The sequence below is a fragment of the Homo sapiens genome, chromosome 6 (genome assembly GCF_000001405.40).
Source record: "Homo sapiens chromosome 6, GRCh38.p14 Primary Assembly".
NCBI classification, from domain to species: domain Eukaryota; kingdom Metazoa; phylum Chordata; class Mammalia; order Primates; family Hominidae; genus Homo; species Homo sapiens.
In genome coordinates, this window is record NC_000006.12 from 167,241,343 (window position 1) to 167,257,941 (window position 16,599).

Sequence of the window (16,599 nt, forward strand, 5' to 3'; positions counted from 1 at the left end):
TGCCTGTGGAGGAGACTTCTGGACACTTAGTTATGGACAGGGCACCAGGAGAAAGGGTGGTGCTGGAGTCTCTCCTTAGCTCTCAGAGATCATCACAAAGAGGGTGCCTCCTGCTTCCGGCCCATGGCAGAGTGTGTCCGAGAGGCCGCCTCTCACCTCCCTCCCTGGCCTCGCACACGCAGTCGGGACTGGATTTCTGATGGCAATTCAGTGACGCACAATCGAAAACCAGCAGGGCGGAACAGGAGATGGGAGCAAACTAAGCTACCGTTTCACTAACTTCACAGAGGAGCCTGACACAGAAAAATGTATACATTGTTTGCCTTAAAGTGAACAATAGGGAATAGCTATCGTATCTTCAAAGCAGCTTTCCAAGATCAAATCCGTCGCATCCGGAATGCGTTTCTTTGACCTTGGAACCTCCAGGAGTGGCCAGGCTCCCCCACAGATCACACGCAGCGTTGCCTAGAAGCCGGTAGCTCTCCCGTAGGACGCTGGGAAGCAGCCAGCTGTTCATGTGGGAGTGTCGGCGTGCGTTCCTTTGTCAACGTCCTGCAAGAAAGAAAAGGCAAGAACGTCAGCGATGGCTCCACTGACTGATTAAGGCAAAGGAAGTCGCCACTGTGAGTGATCACCCAGGCTACGCTGGACAGAAACAGGCCATTTGCCAAGTCCCCCAGCAGCTGTCTTTGTTTCCCACTTCGATTTGCTAATGGGCAATGGGGCTGGAGCTCACTCTGCTCCTTCAGGGAGTGGCTTGGCGACCAGGTCAGACTTCAGTGTCTCCAGGAGCCTGTGAACCTGGTGCAAGGCTCTTCAGAGTCAGGGAGGGTGGCACACGGTCTTCAGACACGGAACTGAGGCTGTCAGTGGTGGGGAGTAAGTGAAAAATCCCACAGGCCCTGCACTGTGTCCATACGTGTTATTAATCTTAGCAATGTGGCCCAGAGAACGCAAGCTCTTCCAGCCTCTGCCCAGGGGCAGCCCAGGAAGCCGTCAGGGATGAGTGATTCCCTTCCCTTCCCAAGAACCTGAGACAGGCGCAATTACCTCCATGGCTGATAACCACTGTTCTAATCCCATGCTTGACTTAAAATCATCGTATTTCAGACTTAAGAAGTCTAGACCCAGCTGATTAATCAGCCTTTCCCAGGAGCCATCTGTGGGGTAGGATCAGAAGAACCCCGGAAATTTTCTGCCCACTGGGAAGATTTCATTTCACTGCTATCTTTCAGGGATGTCCTAGAGAGGGGCCGTAGTGCTGCAGCTGTCCACTTTTGGGTGGTGCCTGCATATCATGCAGAACCATCTGTGAACCAGGCCCTAGCCTTATGTTCCTCTGTCAACTGATCACAGGGAACTCCCCATGAGGCCAACAGTGCAGGCTGGGGGAGAGAAGGCAGGGTGGCAGGAGTGGAGACCATGAGCATTTTAGCCACTTCCTCGTGTAACTTACTTGTGCCTTCAGGACCTGCTTGAGCCCGATCACATATATACCACTTCCATTTGATGCTGGAACACTGCTGTGCACAACCCACTTTATGGCGATGGGTCAGAAAGCACCCAGTTAATGATAGGCAGTTCAGGTCGCATGGTGACTTGCTGACCCATAGTCCAATGTTCAGTTTCCACCAAAGCCCAGTAACAGGCCAAGAGCTGTCTCTCAAAAGGAGAGCAGTTATCTGCAGAAGATGGCAGGGCCCTGGCCCAGAGTGACAAACCCAAATGAGAAGTGTCTTGCCTCCATAATCCACACCTTCTCAAAATGAGTTGTCCATTTGTAACCCACTAAATTCTGTGGGGAATTGTCCCCATCAACTTTTTATAAAGCATTAATGATGTCACCGTTATTCCACCCAAGCTTCACCATAAATCTAATGCTTTTTCTTGCTTTCATTTTAGCAGAGTTCGTGTTGCTCTGATAGAGGCTTTTTTCAAACTGATGTCTTATCCTTCTTAGTACTTCAAATTAGATCCTATTCAGACGTGTTATAACAAGTTAGTATGAATTTATTTTTCTGCAAAAAAGTTGATATCCATGCATTTTTTTTTTTTTTGAGACAGTCTCGCTCTGTCGCCCAGGCTGGAGTGCAGTGGCGCGATCTCGGCTCACTGCAAGCTCCGCCTCCCGGGTTCATGCCATTCTCCTGCCTCAGCCTCCTGAGTAGCTGGGACTACAGGTACCCCGCCACCACGCCTGGCTAATAATTTTTTTGTATTTTTAGTAGACAGGGGTTTCACCGTGTTAGCCAGGATGGTCTCGATTTCCTGACCTCGTGATCTGCCCGCCTCAGCCTCCCAAAGTGCTGGGATTACAGGCGTGAGCCCCTGCACCCAGACTTCCATGAACTATTTTTTTATAATATGTATTTTCCATGAATTTTTTGAAGTCCTCTTGTATGTCTTCCTACAAAAAAATAAAATGTAACTCAGTGCATTTGCCAACCTACCAAGGAAAAACATAGAGGCCTAAAATGTGACCCCCTGCAATGATCTGATCAGGGAATAGTCATATTTAAAAGGTAAATGTGAAAGTCAACTGAGTTGAAATTTGAATGAAAGCTTTTCAATATGCTAATTATTTTAATTCCCACGTCTCCTGAAATCCAGTGTAAAGGTAGTTTGTGCGGACACCAAAAAAAAATTGTACAACACAGAGGAATGGAGAAAACGCCATCCTGCTTTCTGTGGGACCGCTGACAGAGGAGGGGTGCTGGTCTGCCTTCTCTGTGAGCTGTGCCTTGGGTACTGCACCATCCTGCTTTGCGTGAGGCTGCTGACGGAGGAGGGGTGCTGGTCTGCCTTCTCTGTGAGCTGTGCCTTGGGTACTGCACCATCCTGCTTTGCGTGAGGCTGCTGACGGAGGAGGAGTGCTGGTCTGCCTTCTCTGTGAGCTGTGCCTTGGGTACTGCACCATCCTGCTTTTTGTGAGGCTTGTGACGGAGGAGGGGTGCTGGTCTCCCTTTTCTGTGAGCTGAGCTTTGGGTACCATGCCATCCTTTGCGTGCAGGGCTGCTGACGGAGGAGGGGTGCTGGTCTGCCTTCTCTGTGAGCTGAGCTTTGGGTACTGCACCATCCTGCTTTGTATGAGGCTGCTGACGGAGGAGGGGTGCTGGTTTGCCCTCCCTGTGAGCTGAGCCTTGGGTACTGTGCCTGCATAGTACATATGCCTGAAGCTCACTGCTTCCAAAGAAACCTGATTCCAACAGGCTTCTGGGTCTCGTTGCAGTTTTTAGAGTGGTATTTTTGGCCTCCCTTCTGAGGCTGAAAATGTGCCCGGAGAACAGATGGGTGAGATCTTCCTCATTAGCTGGGATGGATTTACATTGAAAGGCATTTGTAAAGTTGCTCATCATTAGCAATATAACAGAAAAGATCTTGACAAGTATTCAGAATTCAGCCTGACAGCCTCATCTAATAAAGGCAGGAAATGAGGGTGGAAGGGAGGGAGGAAGGAAAATACTTGAAGTGTAGCTAAATGTAATCCCTTGTGTAAAGACTAGACAACCCCATCTTAGAAAATAGTGTCCATGACATCAGAGACCTGTGCTGTGTCTGTCAACCAGCAGCAAGCAGAAGGCAGACAAAGGGAGATCTCCGAGCCCAGGGCAGGAAAATAAGATGCTAGAAACAAAAAGTAAAATCTAAGCCTCTCAACTGTCTGAGTGGAGCCCCATCTGTGCCAAAGGGACCCCACAGAAATCTGAAACACTGAATTCCTGGCCATGATGGGAAGGGGAGTCAGACACACCTCGTTATGCCTCCCCCGCCACTTTTGAAGTTTAGAAACAACTGACCAATATTAACATGAAAATAGAGACCATTAGACTGACAAAACCCACTCTTAGTGGTAATAAGATGCCAGATTCCAACCTGACTGTGGTGTAGTGCTCTGAGCGCTGCCCCTTGTGAGACTTCATCTATATAGCAAGAACCTTGGCTTCTACAACCCCCCCTTTTCTTGCTCAAGCGTTTCAACTGACTTCTTAAATCTTTAGACAAAGCTTAACTCTTTCAACCACTGCCAATCAGGAAAACCTTTGAATCCACCTATGACCTGTGAGCATCCACTGCTTCGAGATATCCCACCTCTTTAGGCTAAACCAACATACACCTTCCATGTATTGACTTATGTTATGTCCTTGCTTGTAACTTCTGCCTCTCTAAATTTATAAAACCAAACTGCCACCTGACCACCTTGGGCGCACTTTCTCAGGACCTCTTGAGACTGTATCCAGGCCACAGTCATTCATGCTGGCTAAGAGTAAACCTTTTAAAATATTTTACAGAGTTTGGCTTTTTCATCAGCATGGCAGAAACACCTTTCCCCTTTCTCTAGACACCCAATGTATCAGTGTGGCTGTTGGAAGATAAACACTTTCATGAAAATAATGAGGCAGTCATAAGTTCCTCAAACCTGCTGTGTTTTAATGTCTCTTGACAGATGCCCTGGATCTGTTCCTGAAGGATTACAGCATGAAGAAAAATAATGTGGGTAGCCGGGCTTCATCTTAGCAACACGAGCACCTCATTTTGGTTTTCAGTTGGTCTTTTAATGAACAAATGTGTTGGAATGTTTGGGTCTCTGGTTTTTATGCCGATTTCTACCATCCTGCCCTGGGGATGAGGTGGAGCTGGGATTAACAAAAAATTCCTATTCTCCAGCCAGGCGCAGTGGCTCACGCCTATAATCCCAGCACTTTGGGAGGCCAAGGCGGGTGGATCACCTGAGGTCGGGAGTTTGAGACCAGCCTGGCCAACACGGTGAAACCGATCCCTACTAAAAATACAACAAAAAGTTAGCGGGGTGTAGTGGCAGGTGCCTGTAATTTCAGCTACTTTGGAGCTGAGGCAAGAGAATCACTTGAACCCGGGAGGGGGAGGTTGCAGTGAGCCGAGACCACGCCATTGCACTGGTCAATAAGAACGAAACTCTGTCTCAAAAAAAAAAAAAATCCTATTCTCCATGGGACCCAAATCCCTTTTTACCTCCACCTCCTGGATATGCAGCAATTAAGTGATTCACGGAGGTGCAGTGAGGCGAAGGTTCCATGTAGCCACAGGTTGGAAGAAACAAGTACTGTTGGCATCAACTTTGTCAGCTTGAAGCAGGCCTTCTAGAACCCATAATGCCAGGACAAGCTTTCTAGATGGCAGAAGAGCCTAGCCTATTTGGTGTGAATGAAAGACACTCAGGTGATACCTTCTATCTCTTCAAGGTAGGTGCTTAGCTGAAATAGTGCAATGAAGAAAGAGCACTGAGCTGGAAGCCATAAGGCCTGGCCCCAACACTGATAACCATGTGCGCTTTAACAAATCATTTCTCTCTGAAACTCAGACATAAGGCCTGGCTCCAACACTAATAACCATGCACGCTTGAACAAATCATTTCTCTCTGAAACTCAGCTTCCCCATCTGTGAAGCAGGGATGGTGCTACTTTTCCAGGTGTGATAGATTAGATTATTGATCCCAATTCTTCCAACCCCTTAGAAAGGGTTGTACATCCACCCTTGCCATGTGACTTGCAGAGTCCTCCCCACAACCTCAGATTCTGTATCCCCACTATTGATATTAGCCACGGCCGTGGGACTTGCCTTGCTAGTGGGATGAGGGCAGAAGTATCCATGCGCCAGCTCTGGGTCCCTGCATGCTTTTGCTAACTCTCTTGTGTGTGGGTGGGTCCTTCAAGAAAATAAGATGACCCAAGCAGCTGTGCTCCTTCAGCCCCAGAATAACATACGTGTGACAGACCAGGATTCAGCCCACAGCCTGGAGCCAAGACACCATCCGACCCAGATGAACCTGCGTGGATCACCTGAGCCACTAGTGACCCAGAGATCCTGAGAGTGAAAAACATGCATGGTCCTATACACCACTGAGTTTTGGGATGACTTGTTACTTAGCACTATTATGACAATTGCTGACTAATATACCAGGCTCCTGGAAGATTTGTTGTGAGGTTCTCATAAAATGATGAATGTGAAATTGCATTGTAAGCTGCTTTTAAAAAAGGTACTTAGCTGGAGTGAAAGCTCTACAAAGGCAGAAATTGTTTTGCTACTGTAACTAGATGAGTTCCTGGAATAAAATAGTAGCTCAATAAATACCATATTAATTGAATTGGATGGATGGATGGATATATATATATATATATATATATATTTTAACCTTGGAACTTCTATCATAGGCATTTTTCCTTGGGTTGAAACTACTAATTTCTCTTAAGTACAGATACCCCCCGAGAAAGCTAAAATGCTGTATTGTTTATCACAATACTTTTGGTTCATGATAATTACTGCCAGATACCTGGAGTAATTATAGAAATTGTAGAGAACAAGAGGTGAGGGGTGGGAGAGCTAAGAAATGGATTTTCCAGTTTTGCCCATGGCTACTTTGTGCAGCACCTCTGACAAAAGCTTTGGGAGTTTTCCAGAAACTAGCATTCTGCGCCCTCCCCAAGCACTTATTTCTTCCTTCCCCAGGGTGCCGTGTTTGCATTTCTGCAGCACAACATGGAGGGTAAAGGGATTGCAGAGTGAGTCTCCACTTCCACTCGTCTCTGTTGTTGGAGAGGATTAAAAGAGCAGGAGAGGGGCTGCCTGTGTCCTGGGAAATTTTCAGGACAGAAGAAGAGGCTGGCCCTGTGCAGTAGGTGCAGAGCAGGCACCCGGCCTCCAGGGCCACCGATGACTCCAGGGCCTGGCAGGAGCCAGGATGTGGCTCCTCGTGGAGGGCTATGCCAGCCGTGTGTCCGACCCAGAGCACAGAACCATTGCCCCAGCAGGGCTTTTCAGTGGAACCGAGTGTCCCCACACGAGCTTTGTCTCCGGATGCACACGAGGAGATTCTGCAGCACAGTGGATCCGATTAAGCCATTACAGCTTTCCAGAGGGAAAAGAAAATTTAGGACGTGTAGAAACTAAGTCTTTGCCCACAATCAAGTTTCCATTCAAATTATGAAAAGGAAGTGATTGAATGAGAATGAGATGACCTTCCCCTTCCCCCACGGATCTTCCTCCCTCTGGTTCCCTCTGCTGCTGACACGAGCACTGCACCCAGGCGACGGCCCCGGGCGCCCAGGCTGACTCCCGCACTCGGGCGCTGAGCTCATGGCCGGTTCTGAAGAACTCTGGTTCTGCTCATGCCCCACATCAAAACGGCCAAGTCTTCAGATTTGGGATTTCCCAAGCCAAAAGCATTTTCATAGAATTGCATTTCAATATTTACATTATCTTTAAAGAAAGTCCAGCTAAAAATAAAAAATAAGTAAAAATGTTAAAAATAAAACAACCCCAGAGAGAAGTGGGGTCTACCTGAATGCAATGCAAGATGAAGTGGACATCTGGACGCCCCTCCTCCAGGGCTTCGCATGCTCCCCGGGGCTCAGGGGCTCGGGTGGGGCAGCTCCTCATGGCGTGGGGTAGGGAGGGTGACCCCAGGTTCTTAGTCAGGGCAGGTGCAGGCCTGTGAGACACCAGGCGAAGGAGGCAGAGCAGGCCGTCCTGTGTGGAGTGGCTTATTCTAATTCAAACTCCCCTGTTTTCTTCCTCTTCCTTTTGGGGGAACTCATCCCTCTGAGACCTCAGACAGACATGCACCAGGCTATGGGTGGGGGTAATGCAGGGCAGGCAGGGTGGTGCAGGAGAAGCATTCTGCTCTTTTCTGCAGTAAGGTAAATATCGTGGCCGTCATCTGTTCCACCTCCTTCCTGCTGTCTGGCTTCGTTAGTGCAGATCAAGAGCATAGGTCAGTGCCCTGGAGGGTGTTCAGGATGACCGTAGCAGAGGTCTCCGTGCCACAAATGGAACCCAGCCTTGCTAACTTCTCCAGGCTCGGTGCCCAGCACCCCCAGGGCACACAGAAACCACTGTGGTGTGAGTGGTGCTGGAGCAGCAGACACAGGCGCGTTGTTGTCGGGAGGTGGGGGAGCCCCCGCCGGCTTGCGTGTTTTCTTCCTTAGCAACTGCCCCTCAGAAGCAATACAGGACTTACCCTAATGTCACCTCTGCTGAGTCCACGCCGGGGAATGGCTGAGAAACAACTTCATGCCAGAATCCTGTCAATCTAAGTCTCTACAAAATTCTAGGAACCAAGAAATTATAAACTGAAAGCTCTTAATGAGAAGCTCTCTGTGGGCAATGATCTGGGCTCTGCAGGGGGCTCCAGCAGCTGCCAGAGGGAAATAAACGTGGAAAAGAACAACCTGAGGCTGCTCGGCTGAAGGCCGGAGCATGGGGACTGCCCTAACCCTCACTCACGGTGCAGGGAGCTTCCCAGGAAGTCTCAGCTCACCTGCAGCCTTCGAACCAGGAGAGGCTCCGTGAAAGAGCAGGTGCGTGGACCGGCTGGAGGAGTCAAGAGAACTGATGCCTTGAATGAATCCAGATGAGCAGCCACCATTGTCCTAAAACACCCTTGTTCCCTTTGGAAAGGGTGGGCCAGTTCTGTGTAGGTTGGGAAGGTGACTGGGACCCAGGACGCCCCATGGCAAGCCAGCTTCTGCCCAGGAGGTGCTGGCACCGGGCCGCAAGATGGGACATGGCCTGCTGGTGAGGGGTGGTCCCTGAGCTGCCACTGCAGCCTCGACATGTCTCCACTTGGAGATAAACAGCAGCTTAGGCCTGGGGGGCATCTCTGCACCCAAGAGCTCCGGGTGCATTGTCTCACTGCTGTTTGTCCAGTCTCAAGGGCTTTGATTTGTTCTGCCCACACCTGTGACCACAGCTGCCCATGCCAAACTTTCCTGCGGGATCGTCCTAATAGATCCGCGGGAGCTGGTGGCTCCTCTTCCAAAGCCCCAGACTTTCATGTGGATCACCTTTCTTCTCTGTCCCCAGGATGCTCGAGGTCTGGCCTCAACCCTGTCATCATTGTCAATCCCTGCGGCTCCTCCTTCCAGGGAGGCTGGGCAGAAGAGCAACAGGAGCAGGTGCTCAGGGGCAACACAGAAGACAGGAGCAGGTGCTCAGGGACAACAAGTACTCAGGGGACAGAAGGTGCCAGGAGGTAGTAGGTGTTCAGGGGGCAGCAGGTGCTCAGGGAGCAGCAGGTGCTCAAAGGCAGTACAGCAGACAGGAGCAGGTCATTTCTAAATAAGTTTAAAAACTGAAACATGAATTACTAAGCATGAGTTTAAAGTTTATATCCTTTGACATCGTGTTTTTACATAGTATAGAGAAGCTAAATGTATTTGGTTCTATTAATAAACATGAAAATTGTCCGGGTGCAGTGGCTCACACCTGTAATCCCAGCACTTTGAGAGGTTGAGGAGGGCAGATAGCTTGAGCCCAGGAGTTTGAGACCATCCCAGGCAATGTAGTGAAACTTTGTCTCTACAAAAAAATACAAAAATTAGCCAGGCGTGGTGGCTCCAGTTTTGACTGCAAGGATGGACCCCTGAAAACGCCCAAGGCTTCAGAGGATGACCGCTAGAGCCAGCAGTTTCTCTTTCCATAATCAATCATGTTATTTGATAGTTATGAGAGTTGATTCAAGATTGAGAGATGGAATAGGCTGTTATTACTCAGGCTCATTTCCTAAAGTAAATCATAATTTATAGATGTGGGACACATAGGCTTTGAGATTCCGATACAATTAGTGCAAACATTTAGAAGATAAATTGGCCTCCATTCCAAGGTAACCAAATGGATCCCTTTTTTAAGAATTGAGAATACTATAAAACAAAGATGCAAAAATACCCAAAATTGATCAATAAGGATCACGCAGAGATTTATTTTTTGAAGACAATACTAACATTTCAAATGTAGGAAATACTATTTTATGCTTTAAACAGGGACATTTAGTCTCGAGTTCTAGTTTTAATGCCCTAACCTGGTTTATCCATAAAGTGGAGAGAGGCTAGTGCATAAATTCATGTGGTACAGCCAATCTTATTCATTTTTTCTCAAGGGACAGTTATAACCAGAATGAACAAAGCCTGGAATTCATTAACAGAGCTTACAGGGAAGGTGAGTGGTTTCGAAGCATTTTTACTAATCCTTTGATAAGTCACCCTGATGTGAGAGGTGGATTTAGCGACTTGCTTATGCCAAGTAGCATATGGCAAAAGTAATGATATTTCACTACTGCACGTATCTGCAAAGGGAGCACTCACTCTGGGGCAAGCCAGGCCTGTGTCATGAAGACACTCGAGCAGCCCTGTGGAGAGGCCCAGGCGTAAGAAACAGACGCCTCTTACCAACAGTCAGTGAGGAACTGAGGTCTCCTGCCATGAGCCATGTGAGTGCGCGATCTTGGAGGTGGGTTCTCTAGCCCCTGTCAGGCAGTCAGATGATGCAGCCCCAGTCACATGCAATCAAGTCTAGGTTCTTGATATTCTAGTTACTTAAAGATTGTCAAGCAAGAAGTCATTTCTTCCCCGGCTATGCTATTCAAAGGTTCATGAATCTTTTGGATTTTGTATATTTTAGAAATTCCAGAATTTATCAGTAGGAACCAGAAATAGAATATCCAGCAGGAACGGCATGATGTATAAAAAAATATAGTCCTTTTTGTACATTCCCCTCTTCCATTATTCTAACTGTATCTACCTTCAAATCACACCTAAGATTTCAGGGATAGACCCTTTACCTCGAAGATAATGAAACCCATCAGATTATAATTTTTTTTTTGTTATGGACAATTCCCTTCCCTAATATTTCTCAAACTGAAGGTTGTAATCTACTTCAAAGAGTCGTCCAAGGAAGGCATGGTGATCGACGAGTTTCAAATAACTATCAAATACATTTATTTATCCTAAAAACGTTGACAGTAATGATAGAAATACTCATTTTTAAAATTCTTGAATTCTGATACATAGTTCTATTTTAAAGTCCTGAAATACCAGTATTTTTTTATTGGTATACTACAATTATACCACTATTTTTGGAAACTAAGGTCTGAATTATTAACTTCTTTTTTTTGAGATGAGGTGTCATCTGTTGTTGTTCAGGCTGGAGTGCAGTGGTGCAATCACGGCTCCCTGCAGCCTCAGATCCCTGGGCTCAAAGAAATCCTGTGAGCATGGCACTGTACCCAGCTGATTTTTTAATGGTTTGTAGAGACAGGGCTTTGCTTTGTTGCCCAGGCTGGTCTCAAGCTCCTAACATCAAGCAATCCTCCTACCTTGGCCTCCCAAACTGCTAGGATTACAGGTGTGAGTCACCATGCCCAGCCTTTATTTATCTCTTAAAATGAAAGTCATTGACTAAACTATTCAATTTTGTGCCAAAAAAAAGATGAACTAATGTGCAGTCTTCAAAACTGATAGGATTATTCTGGAAAATTTTGTACATACACACACAAAAAAAGAAGCATTGATGACTTTTGTTAAAAACACCAAATAATATGTCATTTTAAATGTTTATGAACGATTAATTTCTTATTTCAATATAATGCTTAGTTGATTATTTGTAATAAAAGTTTATTTTTGTTTATGTGCTAATCCATTAGGATGTGATATAGTTTGGATATTTGTCCCTACCCACATCTCATGCTGAGTTGTAATCCCCAATGCCAGAGGTGGGGCCTGGTGGGAGATGTTTGGGTTCTGGGGGTGGGTCCCTCATGGCTTGATGCTGTCTTCTTGAGAGTGAGTTCTCATGAGATCTGGTTATTTAAAAGTGGGTGGCACCTCCCTGCCCACTGTCTCTCACTTGTTCCTGCTCCTGCTCCTGCCATGTGATGTGCCTGCTCCCCCTTTGCCTTCCGCCATGATTGAAGCTTCCTGAGGCCTCCCAGAAGTAGAAGCCGCCATGCTTCCTGTATAGCCTGTAGAACCACAAGCCAATTAAACTTTTTTTAAATGAATTACCCAGTCTCAGCTATTTCTTTATAGTAATGCAAGAATGGCATAATACAGGATGATAATATGTTGAAGGTTTATAGATTCAAAAAATGTATTTTAGTTAATTTGAAAAATAATGTAAGAAACACATGATAAATATTCAATTACGTTTGTGAAATACACTAAATCCCTACCTGCTTATTTCCTAGCTGGGCTGCTATAACACAGTGCCACTCACTGGGTGGCTTTTACTGCTCACAGTTCTGGAGACGTGGACATTTACAATGAAGACTGATTAGGGCCAGTTTCCTGATTCACAGATGGGGCCTCTCGCTGTGTCCTCACATGGCAGAGGGACAAACAGGCTCCCTCTCTCTCTTTTATATGGGCACTGATCCCATACATGAGAGGTCCACTCTCAGGACCAAATCACCCCCTTGAGACCCCACCTCTCAACACTATCACCATAAGGATTAGCCTTCAGCATCTGAATGTGTGGGGAGGAAGCACAAACATTTAGATCACAGCGCCCTGTCCCTGGTTTCCCAAAGTTCACATCTTCCTCACGTGACAAGTACATTCATTCCATCCCAACAGCCCTACAAGTCTTAACTCGTTCCAGCATCAACTCAAAAGTGTGAAGTCCAGAGTCTCATTTAAACATCGTCTAAATCAAATACGTGTGTGATTTAAGGTAAAATTCATTGTGAGACAAACTGCTTTCCAGCTGTGAGCCTGTAAAATCAAACATGTTATGTGTTTCCAAATTCAATGGTAGGTGTTATGGTTTGGACTTGTGTCCCCACCCAAATCTCATTCAATTATAATCCCCGGTGTTGGAGGTGAGGCCTGGTGGGAAGTGATTGGATCATGGGCCGGAGTTCTTAAGAATGGTTTGGTACCATCTCCCTTGGTACTGCATAGTGCGTGAGTTCTCATAAAATCCAGTTGTTTAAAAGTGTATAGCACTTGTCCTTCTCTCTCCCTCCTGCTCCAGCCATGTAAGATGCCTGCTTCCCCTTTGCTTTTCACCATGATTGTAAGTTTCCTGAGGCCTCCCCAGAAGCTGAGCAGATGCCAGCATCATGCTTCCTATACAACCAATGGAACTATGAGCCAATTAAAAAATACTTTCCTTATAAATTACCCAGTCTCAGGTATTTCTTTGCAGCAGTGTGAGAATGAACTAATACAGCAGGATAGGCACAGGATAGACATTCCCATTCCAAAAGAAACAATAGGAAAGAAGGAAGGGGAATGGGTCCTAAGTTCAAAACCTGAAGGCTGAAGAAAAATCTTTTTGACTCAATGTTCTGCCTTCTGGACACACTTCGTTGGTGGCTGGGCCCCCAAGTCTCTGGGAAGCTCCATCCCATGGCTTTGTTAGGCACTGGCAACTCTCATGGGTTGGAGTCAAATGCCTGTGGCTCTTCCAGACTGGAATTCCATGCTGGTGGCTCTACTAGGCTAGGGTCATGGGGCAGCCCCACTCCTTTTGGCATTTCCCTATTGTGGACATCTGCAGTCGATTCACCCTTGAGGTGACCCTCTGCCTGTGTCATGTGTCTGAGGCTCTGGGTGGCTCCAGCTTTTGAAATTGAGGTGGAGGTAGCCATGCCACTGTAACTCATGTGCTCTGTGCACCAGCAGAGATAGCACCATATGGACACTGCCAAGCTTTATAGCCTTTGACCCCTAGAGGAGAGGCACCGGCTCCCATACCACCTGGGGCATCAAAGAGCATTGTGCTGGGATGTAGGGAGCAGAGCTTTGAGGTTATTCTGCCCCTCAGGCCCTGACACTGAGTCTGTAATGGGAGGGGAAGTGCCAGGAATCTGAAATGCTGCTAGGATCATTCTTCCACTCTCTTCGTGAATATCTCCTGGTTGATCCACACCAATCTTCTTATCTAATGATTGCTTTGCTACACTCTTTGTGCTCTCTCCCAAACACACTTTCTCATTTTTTTACAATATGAAAAGGCTGAGAATTTTCCAAATTTTAAGTTCTGCTTCCCTTTTGATGAGAAAAAATCTGTCCTTAAGTCATTTCTCTCTTTTTACATTTTACTATATAAGATTTCAGGAGAAGCCAAGGCATGCCTTTAACCCTTAGCTTAGAAATTTCTTCAGCCAAGTATTCTATTTAATTCCTCTCATGTTCTACCTTCCGCAAAACACTGGGACACAAACACAATTTAGCCAAGCTCATTGCCACTTTATAACAGGCATTGCCATTCCTCCAGTATCCAATAGTATGTTACTCATTTCCATCTGAGACCTCCTTGGAATGGCTTTAACTGTCCATTTCTATGAACATTCTGATGACAACCACTTGGACCAGCTCTCAGAAGACTCAGGCTTTCTCTACAGCTCTCCTTATCTCCTCAGAGCCCACCCAGAATCCCCTTTAGTGATCTCTTTGTGGCCATGCAGGCTTTTTTCCAGCAAAACTCTTCTAGGCTTTCCCCATCACCCGCTTCCACTTCCATCTTTTAGGTATTGGTTACAGCAGTACCCCAGTCCTCAATACCAATTTCCTTAGTCTGTTTGGGCTTCTGTAATAATATACCATAAGCTGAGTGCATTATAAAGAGAAGGAATTTATTTCTCACAGTTCTGGAGGCTGAGAAGTCCAAGGTCAAGGAATAATTGGTGTCTAATAAGGCCCCATTTTCTGACTTGTGCATGTAGCCTTTTTGCTGTGTCCTCACATGGCAGAAGGGACAAAAGGCCTCCCTCCAGTCTCTTTTATAAGGGAACTAATTCCACTCATGAGGCTCTTCCCTCATCACCGAATTACCTCCCAAAACGCCCACCTTTCCACACCATCACATTGGGTATCAGATTTCAATATACACACTTTGAGGGGACATAGACATTCAGACCACAGCAGTCATTTTTCTTTAGTGGAGAAAGAAACTCGTAAGTGTGCCCCTCAGGGGATCGTTCATCACCTAGATACTTTGCCTGCAATTAAGATACACTCTCACCAGGGGGCGTTATAGTCCAGGCAGCTATTTCTCCATAGGCATTGTTACCACCAGGAAATCCAGTTACACTTACATCTAACTACCCTCTTTTAATGAGAATATATCTCAAGAACATGAAGTTATTCTGATGCTGCTAAATGTAAAACAGTAGGTCACTTGTCCACACTCACCTGAGACTGAGGCAGTGCCACGCTGGGCCTGAGTGTCTTTCATTTCCTGGTGTTGGACTTTGAGCCATTAGAACCGTGAGCAGCTTGCAGTGTGTCCTTGGTGGGCCCAGCTTTCTGGGGTTACCAGCTGCAAGGTGGCGAGTATTCAGCTTGCCTCTGAAGAGCCTTTGTCTTGCTTTCCGGAGGTGATGGCCAACCGCACAATGACTAAAAGCTCCTTTCCTCTGAAGAGGAATCAGGGCTCAGATCTGCGACATAGCCCTTGAAAACTGAAATTTGGCTTTTTGCCCCCTTATGGATTTAGCCTGAATGTCTTCCGGAGTCTAAGGATATGTTGTCTGTAGTCTAAGGATATGTTTTCTTGATGATGATGTTACTGATGGAGGGAACAATTACAGCTTCCATTTATTGAGGGTTGACCATACATCAGGTGCTGTTTTGCTTTCATCATCAGTAGTTAATTATTACTAGTAATTGTTTGTATGACTTTCTAGAGGGTTTGCTTTAATATATTCAAATAAATACACATTTCTACTCCTCTTTTACTTAAATGGTAGCATACTATATACACTGTTCCATACCTTGCTTTTTTCTCAATAATTTACCATGGAGTACTTTTCTCATTAATATATAAGGAGGGGTTTTTTTTTTTTCTTTTGAGACCAAGTCTCTGTTGCCCAGGCCAGAAGGCAGTGGTGCAATCTCGGTTCACTGCAACCTCTGCCTCCCAGGTTCGAATGGTTCTCCTGCCTCAGCCACCCAAGTAGCTGGGATCGCAGGCATGCCTGGCTAATTTTTGTATTTTTAGTAGAGATGAGGTTTCACCATGTTGGTCAGGCTGGTCTCGACCTCCTGACCTCAGGTGATCCACCCACCTCGGTCTCCCAAAGTGCTGGGATTACAGGTGTGAACCACTGTGCCCAGTCAGGGTTGTTTTTGTTTGTTTGTTTGTTTTTCTTTAAAAAAAACAACAACAATTGTATAATGTTCTTCTGTAAGGAAGTGACGTTTATTTAACCTATCCCCAACTGAAGGGTATACCTGTTGTTTCCGATCTTGCTATTACACACCGTGCTGTAGTGAATGCCACATGAAACTGTATACATCACATAGGGACAGATGTATGTCTGCCATTGTGATGGGCTGTGACAATTTACACTTTTGAGCAATACATAAAAACACTTACTAGATGCTTCTCCCCACCCATCCCAGTAGTACTAACAAATTATTGAATCTTTCCCAGTGCTGCAAACATGTTGTCTCATTTAATTCTCACACCAGCCTGTTTACTGGGCGTACAATTGCCGTGGTTCAGAACTGTGCCGTGAGCTCACCTGGCTGGGGAGAGAGGGCTGGTTCTCAAGCAATGGTGTTATGCTGCATTCCCAGTAATCCCTTTATCTTAAATTTGGTTAGGATGTTTCTCTAATCAGATGTGCAGAAGGTTATCATTTTATTCAATTATATATATATATGTATAAATATACACACAGACGTATACCCTGCCTCTTACAGTATATTTATTCAACCTGACTTTTGAAAGGTTAAAAATAAATTTGTAGCACCTACATATCCCTATTAAAGTACTGAAACTTCCGTTTTATTAATGGGGTTTCCTTTTCTTCTTGGCTGTGGATTTTTAGATAGTTAC

General features: G+C 46.0%; 1 long non-coding RNA gene across 2 annotated transcripts, besides 1 other annotated feature; it reads left to right on the forward strand.

Annotated features, from left to right (window-relative positions):
- Nucleotides 1-543: 543 nt before the first annotated feature.
- LOC102725048 (uncharacterized) lies at nucleotides 544-6,121 on the forward strand. Of its 2 annotated transcripts, NR_187805.1 has the most exons (3): nucleotides 544-623; nucleotides 4,445-4,491; nucleotides 5,726-6,121. It is a non-coding gene; the product is annotated as an uncharacterized LOC102725048 (long non-coding RNA). The 2 variants fall into 2 exon arrangements; NR_187806.1 differs by lacking the exon at nucleotides 5,726-6,121 and having other exon boundaries at nucleotides 4,445-4,574.
- Nucleotides 3,599-4,568: an enhancer, noted in NCBI's record as "OCT4-NANOG-H3K27ac hESC enhancer chr6:167658429-167659398 (GRCh37/hg19 assembly coordinates)". NCBI's record gives its function as "activates a minimal SCP1, AML or CMV promoter by ChIP-STARR-seq in naive H9 embryonic stem cells {active_cell/tissue: H9 hESC(naive)}" and the evidence as "EXISTENCE:reporter gene assay evidence [ECO:0000049][PMID:30033119]".
- Nucleotides 6,122-16,599: the final 10,478 nt, after the last annotated feature.